The sequence below is a fragment of the Homo sapiens genome, chromosome 10, assembly GCF_000001405.40.
Source record: "Homo sapiens chromosome 10, GRCh38.p14 Primary Assembly".
Taxonomy (NCBI): domain Eukaryota; kingdom Metazoa; phylum Chordata; class Mammalia; order Primates; family Hominidae; genus Homo; species Homo sapiens.
This window is the reverse complement of record NC_000010.11, coordinates 11,866,295-11,886,662: the sequence shown is the minus strand read 5'-3', so window position 1 is coordinate 11,886,662 and position 20,368 is coordinate 11,866,295. Positions and strand designations below refer to the sequence as shown.

At 52.5% G+C, this 20,368-nt stretch overlaps 1 protein-coding gene and 1 long non-coding RNA gene across 5 annotated transcripts in view, besides 8 other annotated features; one reads left to right on the top strand and one right to left on the bottom strand.

The window, feature by feature from the left end:
* Positions 1–20,368, top strand: part of PROSER2-AS1 (PROSER2 antisense RNA 1) — a 45,103-nt gene that overhangs the window by 8,048 nt on the left and 16,687 nt on the right. The window contains exon 3 of the long non-coding RNA NR_038222.1: positions 17,162–17,297. This is a non-coding gene — a long non-coding RNA (PROSER2 antisense RNA 1). The remainder of the gene's footprint in view (positions 1–17,161; positions 17,298–20,368) is intronic.
* Positions 3,920–5,119: an enhancer, noted in NCBI's record as "BRD4-independent group 4 enhancer chr10:11923543-11924742 (GRCh37/hg19 assembly coordinates)". NCBI's record gives its function as "activates an origin of replication core promoter dependent on BRD2, P300/CBP, MED14 and CDK7 cofactors, and independent of BRD4, by STARR-seq in HCT116 cells {active_cell/tissue: HCT116}" and the evidence as "EXISTENCE:reporter gene assay evidence [ECO:0000049][PMID:35650434]".
* Positions 3,920–5,233: a biological region, named in NCBI's record as "BRD4-independent group 4 enhancer GRCh37_chr10:11923543-11924742".
* Positions 4,939–5,233: an enhancer, noted in NCBI's record as "tiled region #10562; HepG2 Activating DNase matched - State 5:Enh, and K562 Activating DNase unmatched - State 25:Art". NCBI's record gives its function as "activates a minimal TATA promoter and a strong SV40 promoter by Sharpr-MPRA in HepG2 and K562 cells {active_cell/tissue: HepG2 | K562}" and the evidence as "EXISTENCE:reporter gene assay evidence [ECO:0000049][PMID:27701403]".
* Positions 10,076–10,923: an enhancer, noted in NCBI's record as "H3K27ac-H3K4me1 hESC enhancer chr10:11917739-11918586 (GRCh37/hg19 assembly coordinates)". NCBI's record gives its function as "activates a minimal SCP1, AML or CMV promoter by ChIP-STARR-seq in primed H9 embryonic stem cells {active_cell/tissue: H9 hESC(primed)}" and the evidence as "EXISTENCE:reporter gene assay evidence [ECO:0000049][PMID:30033119]".
* Positions 10,924–11,772: an enhancer, noted in NCBI's record as "H3K27ac-H3K4me1 hESC enhancer chr10:11916890-11917738 (GRCh37/hg19 assembly coordinates)". NCBI's record gives its function as "activates a minimal SCP1, AML or CMV promoter by ChIP-STARR-seq in naive H9 embryonic stem cells {active_cell/tissue: H9 hESC(naive)}" and the evidence as "EXISTENCE:reporter gene assay evidence [ECO:0000049][PMID:30033119]".
* Positions 10,924–11,853: a biological region, named in NCBI's record as "Sharpr-MPRA regulatory region 652".
* Positions 11,559–11,853: an enhancer, noted in NCBI's record as "tiled region #652; K562 Activating DNase unmatched - State 1:Tss". NCBI's record gives its function as "activates a minimal TATA promoter and a strong SV40 promoter by Sharpr-MPRA in K562 cells {active_cell/tissue: K562}" and the evidence as "EXISTENCE:reporter gene assay evidence [ECO:0000049][PMID:27701403]".
* Positions 11,559–11,853: a silencer, noted in NCBI's record as "tiled region #652; HepG2 Repressive DNase unmatched - State 1:Tss". NCBI's record gives its function as "represses a minimal TATA promoter and a strong SV40 promoter by Sharpr-MPRA in HepG2 cells {active_cell/tissue: HepG2}" and the evidence as "EXISTENCE:reporter gene assay evidence [ECO:0000049][PMID:27701403]".
* PROSER2 (proline and serine rich 2) overlaps positions 14,386–20,368 on the bottom strand; it is a 48,922-nt gene continuing 42,939 nt past the window's right edge. For all 4 annotated transcript variants that reach the window (XM_011519438.3, NM_153256.4, XM_047424963.1 and 1 more), the window contains 2 exons: positions 19,880–20,132; positions 14,386–17,173 (listed from right to left, as the gene is read on the bottom strand). In XM_011519438.3, coding sequence (XP_011517740.1) covers positions 16,257–17,173; positions 19,880–20,132 — 1,170 coding nt within the window. In that variant the 3' untranslated portion in view covers positions 14,386–16,256. The remainder of the gene's footprint in view (positions 17,174–19,879; positions 20,133–20,368) is intronic.

Here is a 20,368-nt window from a genome sequence, read left to right as displayed (position 1 = left end):
CCATGTCGCAGCTCTGACATTCATCAGCTATGGGATCTGGATGGTATCTACCTGCTCCGTGCCTCAGTTTCCTGCAGTAGAACCTACTCCACAGGCTCCATGTGGAGATGAAATAACCTAATACTGATATTCAAAGAGAGGGTCTTCAGAGCAGCACTTAGCTGTGTTCTGTTTCTCTCTTTATAAAATGCTGCCATCAAAGGCATCTGCCCTGTGTCCTGGAGAGCCCTCGACCTTCTCATCTTTCAAGGCCAAAGACTGTTCCCTAGCTCCTTTGCCTTGTTTAGCCAAGGTTTGAAAGCCTGGAAAAGATTTCAGAACATTTGGGTTTGGGGATCTTCTGTCTTTGGCTGGTTTGCCAGAGAGTGGCTTGGCTTTGGACACCACACACGGGTGTGTTCGCACGTTGGCAGCAGAGGAAGTGAAGGGCCTGCTGGCCTGCTCCTGGCTCTGTCCTCCAGGAGACGGGCCAGCTATGCCCTGTCCCCACTGGGGGGAAAAGAAGGCCAGGAAAGATTCGGGATTTGGGCCTTCAGGAGGCTGCTGGCTGAGTGGGAGAGTGATGGGAACTGGCTGCTGGAACAACCCCACCCCGCCCCTGCCAGTCTCCGAGGGGGCTTTTATCTGGGGGGCTCCAGCTGAGACCTAGGAGTCCCAGGCCTCCCACAGTTCGGGGATTCTGACCCCTCCTGCCGTCTCCTCCTATGTGTTGGAAAGCTAGGTGTGAAGCACTTGAACTTCGTGTGCATTTTTTTTCTTGTTCCCTCACCAGCTTTGTAAGGCCAACAATGAATGACAGACACCCTAGTTGATCAGGGACGGGGGGCACCCTTGTTCCTCTGGAGAAGCTGCCCACCTAGCCCCTGGCTCTGGAGACAGCTGAGTTCAGCTGCTCCTTGTAATGGAACTCTCCCTGGCACCAGCGGATGGCTCCCAGTGCCTTCCCTTATTCCAGCTTCCCAGAAAGTGCCTGCCACTCTTGTCACCACCTTTTCCTTCCCTTGGCTTCCTCCATCTCCACCCACCCCTGCCTTCAGCTCGGCCTCGTCCATCTGCACCCACCCATCCCCTCTCAGCTCGGCCTCTTCCATCTCCACCCACCCATCCCCTCTCAGCTCGGCCTCTTCCATCTCCACCCACCCATCCCCTCTCAGCTCGGCCTCTTCCATCTCTACCCACCCATCCCCTCTCAGCTCGGCCTCTTCCATCTCCACCCACCCATCCCCTCTCAGCTCGGCCTCTTCCATCTCTACCCACCCATCCCCTCTCAGCTCCGCCTCTTCCATCTCTACCCACCCATCTCCTCCCAGCTCCGCCTCTTCCATCTCCACCCACCCATCCCCTCCCAGCTCGGCCTCTTCCATCTGCACTCACCCCTGCCCTCCCAGCCTGGCCTCCTCCATCTGCACTCACCCCTGCCCTCCCAACCTGGCCTCTGCTCACCAGCCCGGCCCACTCCCTCTTCAGCCAGTTCTAGGGACCCAGAGGGCCATAGCTCTGCAAGTGTCACAGGGAAAGTATGTAATGTCCATCCTAAACAGATGCTTTTGAAACTAAAAGGGGCTGGGGGACACCAAGCATAACCAGGACTGCCCTGGCCAGTCTGTGGGTAGGCTGTGTGGTCACCCTGTTCAAGCCGGGAACATTTTGCCCTTTGGCTTAGCCCTGGCTGCTGGCTCTGCACTGGCCTGCCTTTTCCTTCCGGAATCACTAACTCCAAGGCATCCAGTCACTCAGCATAGGCCGGGCCCTGTCTTCTCTGACTGCTAGAGCTGGCTTGTCCAGGCTGGCCAGACTGATGGGTACAATTTCAGGAATTTTACAAGCCAGGTGTTAATCACAGCCATCATTTTAAAATTAGGCAAATGTACAATCAAATAATAAGACAAAGGTAATAAGTACTCTAAATTCATGACTTCCTAATCATACCACTTTTTTTTTTTTTTTTTTTTTTTTGAGATGGAGTCTCTGTTTCCCAGGCTGGAGTGCAATGGCATGATCTCGGCTCACTGCAACCTCCACCTCCTGAGTTCAAACGATTCTCCTACCTCAGCTTCCTGAATAGCTGGGATTACAGGCGTGCACCACCATGCCCGGCTAATTTTTCTGTATTTTTAGCAGAGACGGGGTTTCACCATGTTGGTCAGGCTGGTCTTAAACTCCTGACCTCAAGTGATCTGCCTGCCCTGGCCTCCCGAAGTGTTGGGATTATAGGCATGAGCCACCGTGCCTGGCCCATATCACTATTTTCTATAATTTGGATGTTATGTATGTCCACTGTGTCTGTGTGGAGGGAGGCCACCACGTGATGGTTTGCTCGTGCGTGTCTCTTCCTGACTCTGAGCTCGACACCGTCAGGTTGATAGCTGGAAATGGGCCACGGTGTGAATATTTACACCATTGCAATTGGCAAATGCTGTAAATCAAGGCTTGACTTATGGTTCTGTTGATTATTCTTCACAGTGATGTTAGTAATACAGATTAAACTTAACAGTGCATTGTACCTGTAGCCATTCCATTGTGAATAACACAAAAAGTGGAGGAAATATTTTTCTCGCATTTGGAAATTATTCTGTGATTCAGCAAAGAAGTTGTTCATGTCATTAACAAGTTCAGAAATACATGCTGCCAAAGCCAAAAAGAGTCTTCAGTTTAATAAAAATAATTAACAGGAAGGTGAGAAATGGTTTACCAGCTGTTCACTTACTGGATTTAAGGTTACTTGTTGGGGAAAGAGCAGAGTAAGATGCAACTCTGTCAAATCATGGCTGAATATGTTTGGCAAAAAATCAATAAAAATTCTGTGAGCATCAATCTGTTATGTGAAATTGAATTTTTAACATTATTTGTAAATTGTGTGCTCTGTATCCTTTGTATCATTAGAATTTATAAATTTATAAGTAAACATGTTTCTTTGGAGAGCCAGCTGCTGAACAGTTACCAGCACACTGCTGCCCACCTCCTTTGCCTGGGCTGGGTTGGTGCCTCTCTTTGCTGCTCCCACAGAAACCTGTCCAGAATTCTAATGTGACACCGCTTCGTGTGTCTCACTTACTGAACTTATTGAGGACACAGTGACCTTTGTGGCTCCAGCACTTAACATGATGCCTGGCACATACTAGGTGCCCTCCCCAAACTGAGCGAATGAAGGGGTTGAACAGCTGAGGGGGTGAGGACTGGATCGTGCTCTCCCCATGGCATTGCTGCTTCCTGGAGAGGTGACTGCATTTCCTGGTCCCTCTGCAGTGGCTGTGGCTGTGTGGTGAGTGAGACGTGGAAGGGTGATGCCAGCCAGCTTCAGGCCTGCCCTCCAGTGAATCCATGAGACCCTCCAAATCCCTCTCCTTCCCTACAGCCTCTGGGAGCATCAGAGGCCACGTGTTCCTGCTAGTGTAGCTACAGGGTAGAAAAAGGATGCCTGGCCCACAAAGTGTGAGTAAAATAAGCTTATTTTGTTAAGCCGCTGAGATCACAGGGTCTGTTTGTTACCACTGCATAGCCTCATCCATCCTGACTAATCCAATGACGCTGAAGCCCAGCAATGGAGGTGACTTGGGCCGGGCCGTACCTTCCGTTAAGTGGCAGGCCCAACCCAGAGCCCATCTTCATTGTCATTCTACCTCCTACCTCTGCCCATTTCCTCCCTCCTAAACACTTTTTTGGAAATACAGAAGAAAGTGTGAATGTGAGGTGGGTTTTGTTCTAAGCCCTATTTCAGACAATACCTGGTTAGGACCCACGCATGGTGATGCCTCCAATGGCAGCCAACCCAGGAAGCACACTCGCCACACAGCCTGTCATTAGAGGATCAGCCGGGGCGGCTGACGTCTGGGATTCAGTCTCCCATTAAGTGTTATTAGCCTTAGCCTCGGTGAGGTTTCACCCACAAACAGCCTCCCTGGCCTTGTCATTTACCACTTCCTTTGCTTTATCTAGACCAGATCTGGTACTTGGGCGGATGGAAAACCAGCTTTGGACATGACACTCTCTCGGGTCCCAAATGCCAAGCAGGACAAACGGCTCCTTATTCTCAGCTGAAAAAAACCTCAGCTTAGTTGCACGAACGTTTAAATGTGGATTACGAGTCGGGCATGAGGCTGTTTACTGTAGTACAGTACATATAGTGTAGCCTAGTACAGGGCAATATGTGTAGCATAATTATAGTACAGTATAAGTCTAATACATGTCCAGTATAATGTCATAGATCAGTACAATATGCATAATATTCATGGTACAATATGGTGGTACAGTATAATAAGCTTAATTCGCATAGTCTTCTCTGCCTTGTTCCTTCCTCTCCTGAAAGCCTGGCTACCTTCCCTTTGATTGCAAACGGGGAGGCTGAAACCATCAGGTTGGAGTCACAGAGGCCAGATCAGGGCTGTGACTTGGGTGAGCTGGCACATTCCTAACTCCTGATTACCTGGTGATGACACTGGCCTTCAACTTCCTTGGCCCCACCCAGTCTCTCCTGGGCAGGGATTCCATCCATGACTTCTGCTTGACCCTGAAGCACTATTCTTGGCTTTGCTTTCTGTCTTTACCACGAGAGTAGGCAAGCTCCTCAAGAGAAGAGTCTTGCTTCGTGTTTTGCTTTTGTTATACTGTATCCCCAGCATCTAGGATGGTGCCCGAGTATTTGTTGAATGACTGCTAGACTGTGAGGCCTGTGTGGGCAGGGTGCCCCCACTCATGGCACAGTGCTCTATACAGGGACTTTAGAGACTGACAGCGCCACGTGGGTAGCCCCCACCTTCCTCACGCCTCTGACTCCTGACTGGCTCTAGGTCTCTGCACAGGCTGTGCTCTCTGCCTAGAATATTCCCCTTGGCGTCCTTCCAGCCTTCCCTGACCACTGCCCCGTACTTGGTCTCCCAGCCCCACGTCTCCCCTGTCACAGTGCTGCCACACCTTCTTGCAGGTAGCTTGATCACTTGTCTGTCCTCTCCCCTCCCCTGGACTGCGAGCCTGGGGAGTGTGGGGCTGTCTGTCCTGCTCACCACTGTATCCTCAGGATGGCCTTGGACACACATAACAGGCGCCACATGCTAGAAGGACGAACAAAGGAATAGCTGGCCACAGCCAGGTGTGGCCTTGTGAGCTACTCGAGGGACACCCGGAGGTCACGTACGGAGGTGCAGGAAGTGTGGCCTGGCTCCGTGTCAGGTTGAAGCTGCTCCGGTCGTCGGTGGTCATGCTCAGGACCAAGAAAGTGGCTTGGGCCTACTATTCTGTCATCTGAGCTGGACTCTCTGCTTCCTAAATTGTGACATATGCTCACGGTGACGCTTCTGAGCCACTCTTGTTTATCAGTGTTCACACAGTGATTCACTTTAAGAGCTACTTATTAAACACCTACTATGTGCCAGATGCCATGCTAGGTACTGGGGGTGCAGAGATTAGCACAGTGGGGCCCCACCTCCAGGAGGTCACAGCCCCATGCCTGTGCTGCGCCTGAGCGTGCATCTCCTCCTGTGCACCTCGGGGGAGCGCGCTGGGTTCTGTTTGCCAGCCCAGTGCATTGAGATCACACCTTCCTGGAGCCCACCCCAGAGTTTCTGATCCATCAGGCGTGAGGCGAGTCTGATCATGTGTGTGCCTCTCAGATTCCCCGGTGCATGCTCTGCCATCAGGGGCCTGCACTCAGAAGCCCTGCCCTAGACTGTGCTAGGCTGGCAGTTTTCACGAGTCCTACACATCCACGACCTAATCACTTAGTCTTTCAGTCTCCCTCTCCTTGGTAACTTCAGTGCACACAGCAGGGGAGAGTCGGCGTTGTGTCTCGGGCCCAGGTCTTCCTGTTGGACGCTGCCCTCTCCTAGCGGCACCGGGTGGTACAGGAACAGTTTCTAGTGCCATCAGAGTTCTAGGAGAGCTGTGGGGCCCGGCCAAGGGAAGCTGTGGGGAATTGGTGGAGGCTTCCCAGAGAAAGGCCAGAGGAGGCCATATCTGGGAGGCAGTGTGGCGGGTTGCCTTTCCGTTCTGGAAGGAGCACTGGCTTGGCAGGATGGGCGGAGGCAGAGCGGCTCGTGGGCAGGGCCCCAGGCCCCTACCTAGAAGGCAGAGGAGGGGCAGGTGGCGCTCCCTACTGGGCGGTCCTCCTCTCCCTCGGCGGCTGGGACTTAGGCCTGGGTCATCCCACCTCTGCGCAGGCCCCAGCGGGAGGTCAGGGCAGCCTTGGCCTGAGGGTGCTGTGCGTGATGGCCAGGCTGGGGCCTGTGGCGCTGCAGTTCACACAATCACCTCCTCTGTGCCAGCCCAGGTGGCCGTGGGACTCTGGGCCTCATAGTTTCCAGTGTCCCTGGACTGGGCCGGGCTGGTCCAGGTTCAGTGCTGTCTCATCAGAAGAGGCTGGGAGGGAGGCACAGGGAGGGCCTGGCTCTGCGAAGAGCTCCGTATTTCCACGGGCAAGGGAGGGAACGTGGAAAAACCTGCGCTGGGGTGGGCGGCTTCCTCCCGTGTTGTCTCTGAGCAGGAAGCCAGGCCTGCCCAGCCTCGGGGAAGAAAAATAAACTCTGGACACATATTTGTAGAAAGTGGGAAAGCCCTGTTTCTCAGGGGGTGGTGAAATTTATACGTAAAACTGGCTGCTCTGCTGAAGTCCCCACTGACTATCAGGGAGGGGCCCACGATGCAGGGTGGCTGGGGCTGCCTCTCCCTGGTCGGGGCTGCCTGTTCCTGGTGGGGGCTGGTTGTTTCTGGTAGGAGCTGGTTGGTTGTTCCTGGTCAGGGCTGGTTGGTTGTGCCTGGTTGGAGCTGGTTGGTTGTGCCTGGCTGGGGCTGGCTGGTTGTGCCTGGTTGGAGCTGATAGGTTGTCTGTGGTCGGGGCTGGCTGGTTGTGCCTGGCTGGGGCTGATTGTTTGTACCTGGCTGGGGCTAGTTGGTTGTCCCTTGTCGGGGCTGGTTGGTTGTCCCTGGTCGGGGCTGGTTGGTTGTGCCTGGTCGGGGCTGGTTGGTTGTTCGGTCCCTGCTCAGGGCTAGTTGGTTGTCCCTGGTCGGGGCTGGTTGGTTGTCCCTGGTCGGGGCTGGTTGGTTGTCCCTGGTCGGGGCTGGTTGTTTGTCCCTGGCTGGGGCTGGTTGGTTGTGCCTGGTCGGGGCTGGTTGGTTGTGCCTGGTCGGGGCTGGTTGGTTGTGCCTGGTCAGGGCTGGTTGGTTGTCCCTGGTCAGGGCTGGTTGGGTGTGCCTGGTCGGAGCTGGTTGGTTGTTCCGTCCCTGGTCAGGGCTGGTTGGTTGTCCCTGGTCAGGGCTTGTTGGTTGTCCCTGGCTGGAGCTGGTTGGTTGTCCCTGGCTGGAGCTGGTTGGTTGTCCCTCCTGGGGCTGGTGAGTTGTCTCTGGCTGGGGCTGGTTGGTTGTCCCTGGCTGGAGCGGGTTGGTTGTGCCTGGTCGGGGTTGATTGGTTGTCCCTGGCTGGAGCTGGTTGGTTGTCCCTGTTTGGGGCTGGTTTGTTGTCCCTGGTCAGGGCTGGTTGGTTGTCCCTGGTCAGGGCTGGTTGGTTGTCCCTGGCTGGAGCTGGTTGGTTGTCGCCAGTCAGGACTGGCTGGTTGTCCCTGGCTGGGGCTGCCAGGCCCATGGGCTTTCACTCCTGCGTCTGGTCTTGCTCCCGAGTTCCCAGGGCCATGTAGGAATTCCCTGCGGTGATGATGGGGATGAGGAAGGTGTAAGCCAGGCACACGCCAAGCACCTGACATTTGCGTTGCTGAGGCCGGTCCTTGAGGACAGTCTCTCTCCCTAGCCCTGGCCCTGCCTCTGCGCGTCATGGGGAGGGGAGACCATGTTCTTAGGAACGGCTCTTTCCATCCCAGGCAGTCTGAGTGCTCTACAGTTCCCCGGACTGAGTCGAAATCTCTCTACCTGTCCTCTCTGTGGCCACACAGAATGATCTAGTGTAATGGCCCCTCAGCCTTTGGAACCTCCCAGCTGTCTGTACTTCCTGAGTCAGTGTGCTCTGTGCTTTCCACTGGCTCTGGGCTCCTCTGGAAGCTGCAGGCTTCAATGTGGAATTGAAAATCCAGCAGGGTACACTGACAGCAAAATGTACCTTTGAAACCAGGAGGATCTGGTTTTTAGAAACAGCAAGCAGTCCCTTGGGATCAAAACTGTATGAGGTGGATGATTGAGCTGACAAAAAAACAAAAATCTGGTTTAAAAGGAAAACTTGAGTGATTTTAAAAACCCAGCCTAGTCGGGCACGGTGGCTCACCCCTGTAATCCCAGCACTTTGGGAGGCCAAGGATCACGAGGTCAGGAGATTGAGACCATCCTGGCTAACAAGGTGAACCCCGTCTCTACTAAAAATACAAAAATTAGCCGGGCATGGTGGCGGGCGCCTGTAGTCCCAGCTACTCCGGAGACTGAGGCAGGAGAATGGCGTGAACCCGGGAGGCGGAGCTTGCAATGAGCAGAGATCGCGCCACTGCACTCCAGCCTGGGCGACAGCACTCCAGCCTGGGCGACAGAGCAAGACTCCATCTCAAAAAAACAAAAACAAAAACAAAAAAAAAAACAAAAACCTGGCCTAAACCGGCACTGAAAGTAGTTATTTCTAGAGAAATTTACAAAAGATAATCGAAATGATAGCAAGGTTACTAGACAAAGTGTGGGGCCTCCCAAGGCAAGGAGACCTCAGTTCCTTGACAGCTGGCACACCCAATAAAACAGAGACAAAAATGTCAGCAGTGCCACTGAGGAATATTGGCAGAATTGTGATAATTTGTGACAGGGCAGGAGGGGGCCAACAGTTTGTAGGGTACCTGTGTCACGATGGAGCTGCAGCTGTAAATGTGTAAGGCGAAATACCACCTGGTCCCTGCTGCCCCCTGAGCTGGGGTCGGGGTGGAGGCAGAGGCAGGCCTGGGCAACGCAGTGCTTCCCAGATACTGGGTCGGAGCCAGGCCCCTGGACTCTCCACGGAAGCCTCCTTGCCTTTCTAGCAACAACCACGGCTTCAAAGGCCTGCCAAGGAGCTGATCGGGCAACCCCGGGAGCTTGTGTAGCCGTGTTGTGCGTGGCAGTCCTGCAGGTCGGGGCGCTGGAAACTCCTACAGGCAATTCCAGTTTCTAGAACCAGCTCCTAAGTGGGGGAAGGGAGACAGAGGCCACCAAAGGACCTGCCTGGAGCTGGGTCCCCAAGGCCGAGGTCACAGGCACCAGATATCAAGGACCTTCCCCACCCACTGCCTTGGGGGCCCTTCTCAGGCCCAGACTCACCCCCCCACCTCCCTTTCCTCTTGGAAACTGCCCTTTGCCCCCACTCCCTCTTCCTGCCAAGGCTGCCCTCAAATGGCCCAGCCTTCAGCTGCCTTTCCTTGTCACCCCTCTAAGTGGCCTCGTCCCTATTACTATGCCCCTGAAGCCTACCTAAAGATCAGGAGGAGCTATGGGGAGAAGGGGGCCAGTTTCGTTCAGGAAGTGACTCCGTGGGTGGCAAGGAAAGAAGGGAAGCAAGAGGGCAGGACACACTGGAGGGTGCAGCCCGGCCGCCAGGGCAGGGCACCCGCAGCAGCCCCCAGAGGACCCGAGGAGAGAAGTGAAGCCTCCCTGTTCCATGTGTAAGCTGCTGGGACGGCCCCACCTGTTAGGTGGCCGTAGGGAGGAAGGAGCCACCATCTAGCACTGCTCAGTGTCGGCATATGGAAGGGACGCAAAGATTGGCTGAATGCATGAATGAACGAATGAGACTGTCATATCTGGCATCTCCCCACTGCCACCAACTGTTTTACATGATAGATGTTTTTAAATTCAGTTCCTGTGGCTTTTAAGATTGGACGGAAGGGCCAGGCACGGTGGCTCACGCCTGTAATTCCAGCACTTCGGGAGGCCGAGGCAGGTGGATCACCTGAGGTCAGGAGTTCGAGACAAGCCTGGCCAACATGGCGAAACCCTGTTTCTAGTAAAAATACAAAAATTAGCCAGGCGTGGTGGAGGGCGCCTGTAGTTTCAGCTACTAGGGAGGCTGAGGCAGAATTGCTTGAACCCGGGAGGCAGAGGTTGCAGTGAGGTGAGATGGCGCCACTGCGCTCCAGCCTGCATGACAGAGAGAAACTCCATCTCAGAAAAGAAAAACACACACACACACACACACACACACAAAGACTGGGCTGAAGAATGAAGAGCCTCACAGAAAGCTTCACAGTCACATGGGTGATGAATTAGGGAAGTCACGGCCATGTGAGCCCCTCAGTCCTGAGTTGGGAAGGCAGGCGCAGGAGATGGGGCACCTCAGCTGCTCCGATATCTGGGCATGGCCAGGCCTTCTTAAGCCTTCTTACTCTTTGAAAACCATCTTCCCAAGCAGAGATTATTTTCCCCAAATTCAATACACCAGACACCAAGTGAATAGCCAGGTAAAAGGGATACAGTCTGTCTGATTTCAAGGACCAGGAAGCTTGTACAGTCCGAGAACCAGTTGGAAACTGAAGGTGGCCAGGTGGCATTGCTGGCACCGTAACCTGTCAGGGACATGGGTTGTATGAGGACTTGGGCCATTGCATAAGGGCCACAGAGGGCCAGGGTGTCTTCAGGAACAAGGGCAGGTCCCTTGCTGCCATCCTCACACTCACAGGCAGTTCATGGGGTGAAAGGCAACGTGCCAGCCCCACAGTCAAAGGAGCCTGGGCCTGAATGGGAGCTGTCCCTTAGTCATGCGCGCAGGCTGTGCAGGCCCGGCACGCAGCTCCCTTGTTCATTCAGCCCCACCCCTGAAAGGCATTTCCAGAATTTAGGTCACTACTGTTGGCAGCGTTGCTTCATACACAAACACTCTGAGGTTAAAGTTTATGAAGGGTGACCTGTTTATCAACCACTGAGTTCCAGCAGCCTCCGCTTGCAAATGTGAATTCTGATCTTGGGCTAGGGTGGGCTGGTCACAGCTCTGACTGCAGTAGGGGATATGGGGGTGGGGGTCGCATGCTGGCCTGGGGTTCCTGCTGTCTACCCAGCCTGCAGCAGAGAGGCCTGGGGCTTTGAGCATGCCTAGAGCGGGTTGTACTTCCAGATGCTCCCGAACTTCAAAAGCAAGGGTCAGTGGGGAACAGGGCGACCAGGGCTTTAAAGCAGCCTCAGGAGCGAGGAAAACCTGCCTGAAACCCAAGCAGTGAAGCAAGAGGGGACCCAGCCCGACCCCGCCTTGCTCCAGATCCTCCTGTGCCCAGGGCGGAGAGGTCTGGCTGTGGACCCCGCACTCAGATCTGGGGATTGCAGTGGGATCCAGGCAATGCTGGGGCGCTGTGACCCTGCTGCACTCTGCAGGGTGATTGGGGTGCTTCTCCCCTAGGCTGGAGTTTGCCGTTTTGAGGCTGTTTAGGTCATTACTGGGAGTCACCATGCGGCGGCTTCTTAGCCGGTTGTTGCATAGGAAGCTCCTACAGTCTACATAAAAAGCAAGCCTGGAGGACACCCTTTTGGGCTCCTGGGGGTTGGCTCCCCGTCTCCCCCCAGGACAATACGCAGGAGGAAGCATGAAGTCTGCTTCGCTGAGTGATGGGCATTTCATAAGTCTTGTGGATTTGGAATGCAGAGGGCTGAGTTCTGCTATCTTGTTTGGAAGAGGCCTTTCAGAAAGCCTTTATCTGTCAAACGCCAGGGCGGACTGTTGCCATGGTGAAAAGCGTGGGGTGGGAGGGCCCCAGGGCTTTTTCTTCTGTGGCTGGCTGGATCCCCCCACAAGGCTTTCATGCCGAGAGAAAGTGGTGATTCTGGCGGTGAGGGAGAAGCCCCAGAGGCCTGGGGGAGGTAGGCCACGTGGAGCTGGGTTCCCAGCCACGCCTCCGCTTCAAATTCAATGACAGAGCACGTGATTTCCCAGGAAACGGAGGCTTGCAGCTCTGTCTTCTTTCCTCAACTATTTGAAAGCAGGGCTTGTCCAACTAGCAGATTAGAAAAGGAGATGGAACTTGTTCCCCCTACTTAAAAGCAGGGGAGAGAAAAGCCTTGTGAAGAGAAGACACAAAACCTGTTTGGTGACTTGTCCTTTCAATGAAAACACAAACCTCTCCAGGTGAGCACTCCCAACTCCTCCCCTTCCTCCTCCCCCTCCTCCTCCCCCCAGCAGCCCTGGCGGGGACCACAGCAAGATGAGAAGAAACAGGAAAACAAGGCGACTGCTCCCTCAGAGTTCACCATTCTTTGATGACAGAAGTTTAAGAACTCAGGGAAGCAGTTTAGGGGAAAACAAGTTTATTAATCTCGCCACGTCACAGCGATAAATACACGCAGAGAAACAGTGCCTTCCTGAGGGGAGTCACCATCGGGAAAACAGCACAGCAGTTAGGAGTTTCTTTTTTTTTTTTGGGGACAGAGTCTCACTCTGTCGCCCAGGCTGGAGTGCAGTGGCGCAATCTCGGCTCACTGCAACCTCCGCCTCACGGGTTCACGCCATTCTCCTGCCTCAGCCTCCCAAGTAGCTGGGACTACAGGCACCCGCCACCACGCCCGGCTACTTTTTGTATTTTCGTAGAGATGGGGTTTCACTATGTTGGCCAGGCTGATCTCGATCTCCTGACCTTGTGATCCGCCCACTTCGGCCTCCCAAATTGCTGGGATTACAGGTGTGAGCCGCGGCGCCTGGCAGGAGTTTCTCGATAAAAGTAAATTGTTGTCATATTTTTTCTCTTTCATTCCTCTTTATTAACCATTAAATAACTGATTTCCTTAGATTACCTATTGTATATTAAAAAAAACTCCACCAAATCCTCTGACAAGTCAGAATCCTCACAGCCAGAGGTGTGGAAATTTAAGGAGAATCCATTTCTTTTTTCTTTTTTCGAGACAAGGTCTCGCTCTGTTGCCCAGGTTGGAGTGCAGTGGCAAGATCTCGGCTAACTGCAACCTTGACCTCCCAGACTGAAGTGATACTGCCACCTCTGCCTCCTAGTAACTGGGACTATAGGTGCATGCCACCAGGCTGGGCTATTTTTTTTTTTTTGTAGAGATAGGGACTCACTATATTGCCCAGGCTGGTCTCGAACCCCTGGGCTCAATCGATTCCCCCCACCTCGGCCTCCCAAATTTCTGGCATGAGCCACCGGCCAAGAGAATGTATTTCCGATTTTGTGTTTTTAAATAAAACAGTAAATCCTAAGGTTTCCATAAGGCCTTGCTCATCACCTCTGCTCAGCTCTTTACAGCTGGTTTCAAATGGGCATCCTACAGTGGAACTCTGCACCAGGAATTTTGAGTGAGGAATCCTAGAGTCAGAAGACAGCTTGTATAGCCCAGGAGGGGCTGAAGAGCAGGCAGGCAGTGTAGGCTGCGAGCCCCATGCCTGGGGCCGCCCTCAGATGCCTGTGAGTTTGGTCAATAATTCATGAAGCCGAGGGCTCTATCATTAAACACCATGGAGAAGTTGTCCCCCGAATTCTTGATGAAAGCATCCCAGGATCTGTGTCTGTCTTTCCTGTCCCTTCTCTCCTCAGCCAGCCTTACAGGAGAATGCGGGCAGGGGAGAAGCAAAGATCAACATTTCTGCCAGTCTCACAAAGTTGGGTATGCATGCTAGGAACCAAGTATCAGAAAGGGGAGGAGGAGGAGAGGACTGCGGCTGATGCTGTGATCCTGTGTTTGGTGTTGCCATCTGCCCATGGGACTCTGGTTTGGCCATTTGCACACAACTTTTGAAAAGGAAAGGATATGGCTGGGGCAGTGGCTTACGCCTGTAATCCCAGTACTTTGGGAGGCCAAGGCGGGGGGATCACATGAGGTCAGGAGTTCGAGACCAGCCTGGCCAACATAGTGAAACCCCATCTCTACTAAAAATACAAAAGTTAGCCCAGCATGGTGGCACGTTCCTATTATCCCAGCTACTCGGGAGGCTGGAGGTTGCAGTGAGCCGAGATCATGCCACTGCATTCCAGCCTGGGCGAAGGTGATTCTCTCACTCAGTTCTTGGGAAGAGGGAGACAAGACCATCTCAAAAAAAAAAGGGTATTTTTTTTTTTTCTGATTTAAGCATTAAGATAAAGAGTTTTGTAAAAGTGGAGAATGATTTCCAGCATAACTTGGGGAAAAAAGTGGGGCATTTAACACTTCATCTTTCCTTTCCATTACGGTTTTGCTTTGAGATATGCATGGTCCTTCAAATTACCATGAACCAGATGACCTTTAAGAAATCACATCACGTAATTATGGCAAGGAAACTAATGCCTCTCCACAAACTGGGTTTGCTAACATAAGTACACTTAAAGGTTAGTTTAGCAGCAGCTATAATTTGAACTTTGTACAAAACATATGGCTATAATTAGTAGGGTTTTAGACACAAGAAATGACCAGAGTGACAGTCAGTGTAACTATGAATAAAGAGAAGAAATTATGAATAAATAGAAGGAAAGGGTATAACCATTTAAAAGAAAGTAACTGAGAATATAGCATGCAATGCAAAAACAAGCTTACTTAAGAAAAAACTCTTAAATTTATTTTTCAAAAATGTGATTATGGCAACAAATAAACTAATATGCAGTCCAGTTCACCCTACTCACAGTGAAATCATAGGGTCAGTGAAAAAGATGCAGTCCTCATGTATAAAGAATATTTAAAATGTCGGTTGTATCAAGACCTTCTATTATTGAACACTGTATGGCATCTTGCCTTGTAAAGAGCAAACACAGCCCTTATAAATCCTTTAAACCAATCCAGCATTAACAGGAGTAAAATTTACAGTAACTACTTTTGAAAGCTGTAAAATTAAAGCACCTATTTAAATTAAGATCAGGAATCTATGAGGTTATTATTCATAAGAGCTGGATGAAACTAAATATTGCATTTCTAAGGAAAAAATTATAATCATGCACTTTATATAACTTACAAGGCAAATGGGATACTATGAAAAATGCCCTTCATAGCACATTTAAGCCTGAATTTAAGTAATACTCAACGGGAAAGAAACAGGCTCTGTTACGGCGCTGGCGGAGACATAAAAACACAAAGGTGTCACTGCTCAGGGCAGCCCTTCCTGTCTATTTTTAGAGGTCTAAGACTCCAGCCTTAAATAGTTTTGATGATAACGCTTGTGGCATAACTCAGCGTGTAAGACATAGTCTGGGAGGAAACCGGTTCTTTTCCTGCTGTGTAACCTCATTCACTGGTTTTTCCCTACCCTGAGATCTTGCTTGTGGAACATGACAGTCGGTGGATCTTTAAGAATCTTTTGCTTCCTTCTGTTGACTGGCTACCTCGGAACATGCAGAACTAAAATTGGATGATAAAGGAGATTAGTTTTCTAAAAAGTTCCTTCTTTAGTGAACAGTCTTGCTTACTTGGAAGCAGGGAATATTACTTTAACTGGGAACAGAGGAACATTTTGTTGAGGATAAAGCACTTTTGGTTCACCAAAATATCATGGAGACGTGTCCTTAAGACACTTCCATACTAGGAAGTAACAATTTCTTGTATCATCCATCAGGATGCTGAGGTGGCTCTGTCTACCCAAGAATAGGAAGCGCTGGCATCCTGTAGTGACTTAGGAGGGTGTTCAGAAGTTTCTATTTATATAATAATGATGCATGTGGACACACAGGATACCTATGCATGTATGTGTTGACACGTACGTATCTAAAAACATACACACACAAACACAGGCTCACGCACACGTCCCAGACCTCAGAGTCTGATGAGACTTGCTTTCTCAAAATTACCACCTTTCCATTTCACTCCCAAAACTCAATATCTAAAGGTTTCATTTCAGTTTTCAGTAAAAAACAAAACTGGGCAAACTAAAGTACGTCAAGAAACAAAAGCAAAGTACCATGATGCCTCACCCTTCAAAAACAAAAGCAAGTATATTAAGACATTAAAAAATGAAACAAGCATTTTTTTTTATTATTTTCTTAGAAAAGGCGGCGAGAATCCTGAGTGGAAGGGATCTGAACTTTCATGTCATGTACTTCGAGAAGAGGGTAGATGAGACTCAAGAATGATAATCAGACCAGTCCTACTCCTCCCAACCCCCAAAAGATGGCATTTACACATCACGGAAACCTATGGGTCTAACAGGTTATTCTCTCTCTCTCAGTTCTTGGGAAAAGGGAGACAAGCCCTCGGCCAGATTCCTTTAGGGAAGAGTTCTCTGTGCCGGTGGCTGGAGCTTGCGGTGCGTGCTCAGCCAGGAGGCCCCAGCCAGGCACCTCTAGACTCCGATGTGCCACAGAGGGCAGGGGCTCCCGCTGTCACTTCCATTTTAGACCAAACAGCTCCTGGGTGCAGCGACTCTTTCACCCTCTCTTCAGGGTGGGGAGAAACGGGGTGGACTGGAGCCCGCGCGGCCCTCACGAACTCTCCCTGAGCAGCCCCAGCTTCCGCAGGGCCTCCCTGCGCGCCTCCTCCGAGGAGCCGCGGCCCGCGAACTGCACGGTGATGCCCTGGGGCCGGGGCAGGGAGTCTGCGCGGCGCCAGTCCTGGGCGCCGTTGGGCTGCCGGGGCCCGGGGAAGCTCTGACGGGCCCGCGTGCTGGGCAGGGCCGGGCCAGGGCGGAAGCAGAGGGACTTCCCAGCGGGCGCGAAGGAGCTGGGTGCGCTCTTCAGGGCCTCGTGCGCACTTGGGAAGCCGTTGGCCAGCGCCGGGCCCCGCGGAGCCTGACCCCCTGCCCGGAGACTCTCAGCGGGGCCCGGCAGGCCCCGGCCACGCGCCACCCGCTCCGGGGAGGAGCCGCCCCCTGGGGCCCCCTCGCCGGCGTCCCCCGCGGCGGGGAAGGCGCCGGCGTGGCCGTGGATGGTGGCCAACACCTGCGCCCTGCGCTCCTGCACGCTGACGGCCGCCCTGGACAGGGTCCTGCGGGGCTCCCGGGCCGCGCCGTTGGTGACGATGATGTTGCTGGGGAAGCGGGGTGCCTTGGGCTGCGCCGGGTGGCTGGGCCCCGGGCCAGGGTCTCCACTGCGGGGCCCCCGGGCGGCAGGTGTCCTCCACTCCCCGGGCCGGCCCTCCCTGAACGGGGAGGTGGGCGAGAGGGCTTCGTTCCCCGCCATCCTCTCGGAAATCTTCTGCGCCATAACGAGGGGCGTGGGAACAGAGCGCAGGAGTCTGGGGTGCTCCACCGGCGGGGAGGGGGCGCGCAGCTCCCTCCTGGGGGGATCGGGGGTGCTAGGCAGGGGTGGTGGCGCAAGAAGGGTCTCGGGAGCCGGGGGGTCTGGAGGTGGAGGAGTCTCAGCATCTTGTTTCCTGTGCTCCTTCCCAGCAGGTGCAGGCCCTGGAAGACAAGGGAGGAGCCTGTGAGCCACCGGCCCACGTGAAAGTAAATGCATGAAGTTCCCTCTCGCTGAACTGAAAAGAGCCTCAACCTGGACCTGACACCAACTTCGCCGGTGCTGCCTGTGAGTCAACTCCTCTCTCCCTGTTCCTGGGACTAGGGAAGGAGAAGGTGGTATGTCATGCTCATGACCTCACGCTGATAAGGGACAATCACGATAGCCCTGCAAGTCAGACAGTCCACACCTAGGAGACATTCCGTCCATGTGGGCTGCTGAGGCTCCAGCCCCTGAGGCTGGGACAGGACGCAAGTAGTGACCAACTCATCAGGGGAGTTTACAAAGGGGAAATTGAGTCTAGAAAGTGTGTGGCACACACCGACACCAGCAGGTCTTTCTGGATGAAGGACATGTAGCTGTGTCACTTTCCTCTATGACAGAGAATTTAACAGGCCTGCCTCTGAGTCCTTACATAGCATGTATCAGTCACAGATCACCTGGCACTGCTGTACTTATGCATCTGTCTCTCAATACAACACTGGGCCGGGCGCGGTGGCTCGCACCTGTAATCCCAGCACTTTGGGAGGCCGAGGCAGGTGGATCACTTGAGGCCAGAAGTTCAAGACCAGCCTGGCCAACGTGGTGAAACCTTGTCTCTACTAAAAATACAACAATTAGCTGGGCGTGGTGGCGTGTGCCTATAGTCCCAGCTACTCTGGAGGCTGAGGCAGGAGAATCCCTTGAACCTGGGAGGTGGAGGTTGCAGTGAGCTGAGATGGCACCACTGCACTCCAGCCTGAGTGACACAGTGAGACTCTGTCTCAGAAAAAACAAAACAAAACAAAACAAAAAACAAAAAACCTGAAATTCATATCTTTTTATGTTCTTCTGTACTCTGTGGGCACTTAAAGTTGTTATGAATATGCCAGGTGTGGTGGCTCACACCTGTCCCAGCAATCTGGGAAGCTGAGGTGGGAGGATCACTTGAGCCCAAGAGTTCGAGACCAGCCTGGGCTGCATAGTGAGACCCCATCACTACAAAAAAAAATTTAGCCAGGCATGGTGGCACATGCTTGTAGTGCCAGCTACTTGGGAGGCTGAGGTGGGAGGATCATCTGAACCCAGGAGTTGGAGGGTGCAGTGAGCCAGGACTGTGCCATTGCACTCCAGCCTGGGTGGGAGAGAGAGTTCCTGTCTCAGAAAAATGAAAGAAAAATTGTTATGAAAATATGTTAGAGAACAGATGGACAGGTGTAGCTGATTTTTCAAAGAGTGTTTTCCTTGGCATGACTACGTGATCTCACATTTTAAAAGGATCGGCTGGTTCAAATTACTTTTGGAACTCTATTTCAAAGCAGAAGTACAGTAAAAAAGAACAGTACATTACTTCTCCTCTTTGAAGAGATGGCTGCAAACCAAGCTCCATATTTACATGGAATCCATAACCGTAGTATGTGAAGTTCTGAGTAATACATAGCCTTGCTTGAAAGACATACATGTGTACACACGTGTACACACTTTATTTCTAGTGGCTCAAGACAAATGACAGTATTTTATCCTTACCAGGGCAAAAGTAATGTTTCCTCATCCCTTCCAATGTTAAACCCTTGGCCACATTTGTTTTCAGTATCCTTTCCAATCGGGGAAAAAAACTGGAAGATATTTCTCTCTGCCCATTTCCCTCCAGCTCAGGGATCCCCAACAACCCTGGTACTGGTCTGGCCTGTTAGGAACTGGGGCGCACAGCAGGACGTGAGTGGTGAGCGAGTGAAGCTTCATTTGTATCTACAGCCTCTACCCATGGCTCGCATTACCGAGCTCCACCTCCTGCCACGTCAGCAGTGGTATGAGATTCTCTTTCTTTTTTTGAGACAGGGTCTCGCTCTGCCACCCAGGCTGGAGTGCAGTAGCACGATCTCAGCTCACTGCAACCTCTGCCTCCTAGGTTCAAGTGATTCTTGTGCCTCAGCCTCTGGACCAGCTGGGACTACAGGTGTGCGCCAGCTAATTTTTGTATTTTTAGTAGAGATGAGATTTCACCGTGTTGGCCAGGCTGGTCTTGAACTCCTGGCCTCAAGTGATCCATGGCGCCCAGCCTGTAAAATAGAATAATTACCTGGAAGCCATTTCCAATTTTCTTTCTGTGCATGTATGCATTGTGTATTTAAAAAAATGTAAACTCTGCTTATGTGCCCAGTTCATTCTTTTTTTTTTTTTTTTTTTTTTTGAGACGGAGTCTCACTCTGTCCCCCAGGCTGGAGTGCACTGGCACAATCTCGGCTCACTGCAAGCTCTGCCTCCCGGGTTCACGCCATTCTCCTGCCTCAGCCTCCTGAGTAGCTGGGACTACAGGCACCCGTCACCATGCCTGGCTAATTTTTTGTATTTTTTAGTAGAGACGGGGTTTCACTGTGTTAGTCAGGATGGTCTCAATCTCCTGACCTCATGATCCACCTGCCTCAGCCTCCCAAAGTGCTGGGATTACAGGCTTGAGCCACCGCGCCTGGCCCATTCCATTCTTTATTCTAGGCCCTCTGGCATTTCCCTTTGCTGGATGATGAAACTGCCAAGGAGTATTTTCCCCTATAAAAATCTGGTAAGACTCAACAACTTCTACTGGCAAACACAGGGGAACACAAAAGAAGTATCTCTGGGTCTCACAGACACCAGGAAACCACATCCCAGGGATGGCCTGTCTTCCCCCTCACCTGCTGCCTGGGTCCCCTCTGGAAGGCCCTCGGCTTCCCCGGCGCCAGGTGCTGGCTGCACTAAGTCGATGACATCTTCAGGCTCGGAGGGACTGGAGGTGCTCTCCTCCAGAGACGGGGAGCAGAGGCAGCACACTCCTCCATCGCACAGCACTGGCTCCTCAAAGTCCTCGTCTAGGGAGTCAATCGTCTCTTCAAAAAACAGGAGCACATCCTTTTCCTCATGGGTGAGGTACTTCAGGCTCTCATCATCCTAGAGTACAGGGATTGGGAACAGAAGAGAGAAAACAAACACTGGCTTCACTAAAGAGACAAAAGCTGAAGCAAAGTTGGGATTGGTCCACAGCCCAGGGCGGAACTCACTGTGTCCCGAGAGTACCCTGCCACACAGTGCCTGCGTGTGCCTCTCCATCACCCAGATGGAAGAGAACGTGTTCCGAAAGGCAGAGCAAACAACAGAGCCTCAAAGCTGTTATAACGGGCCCTCGC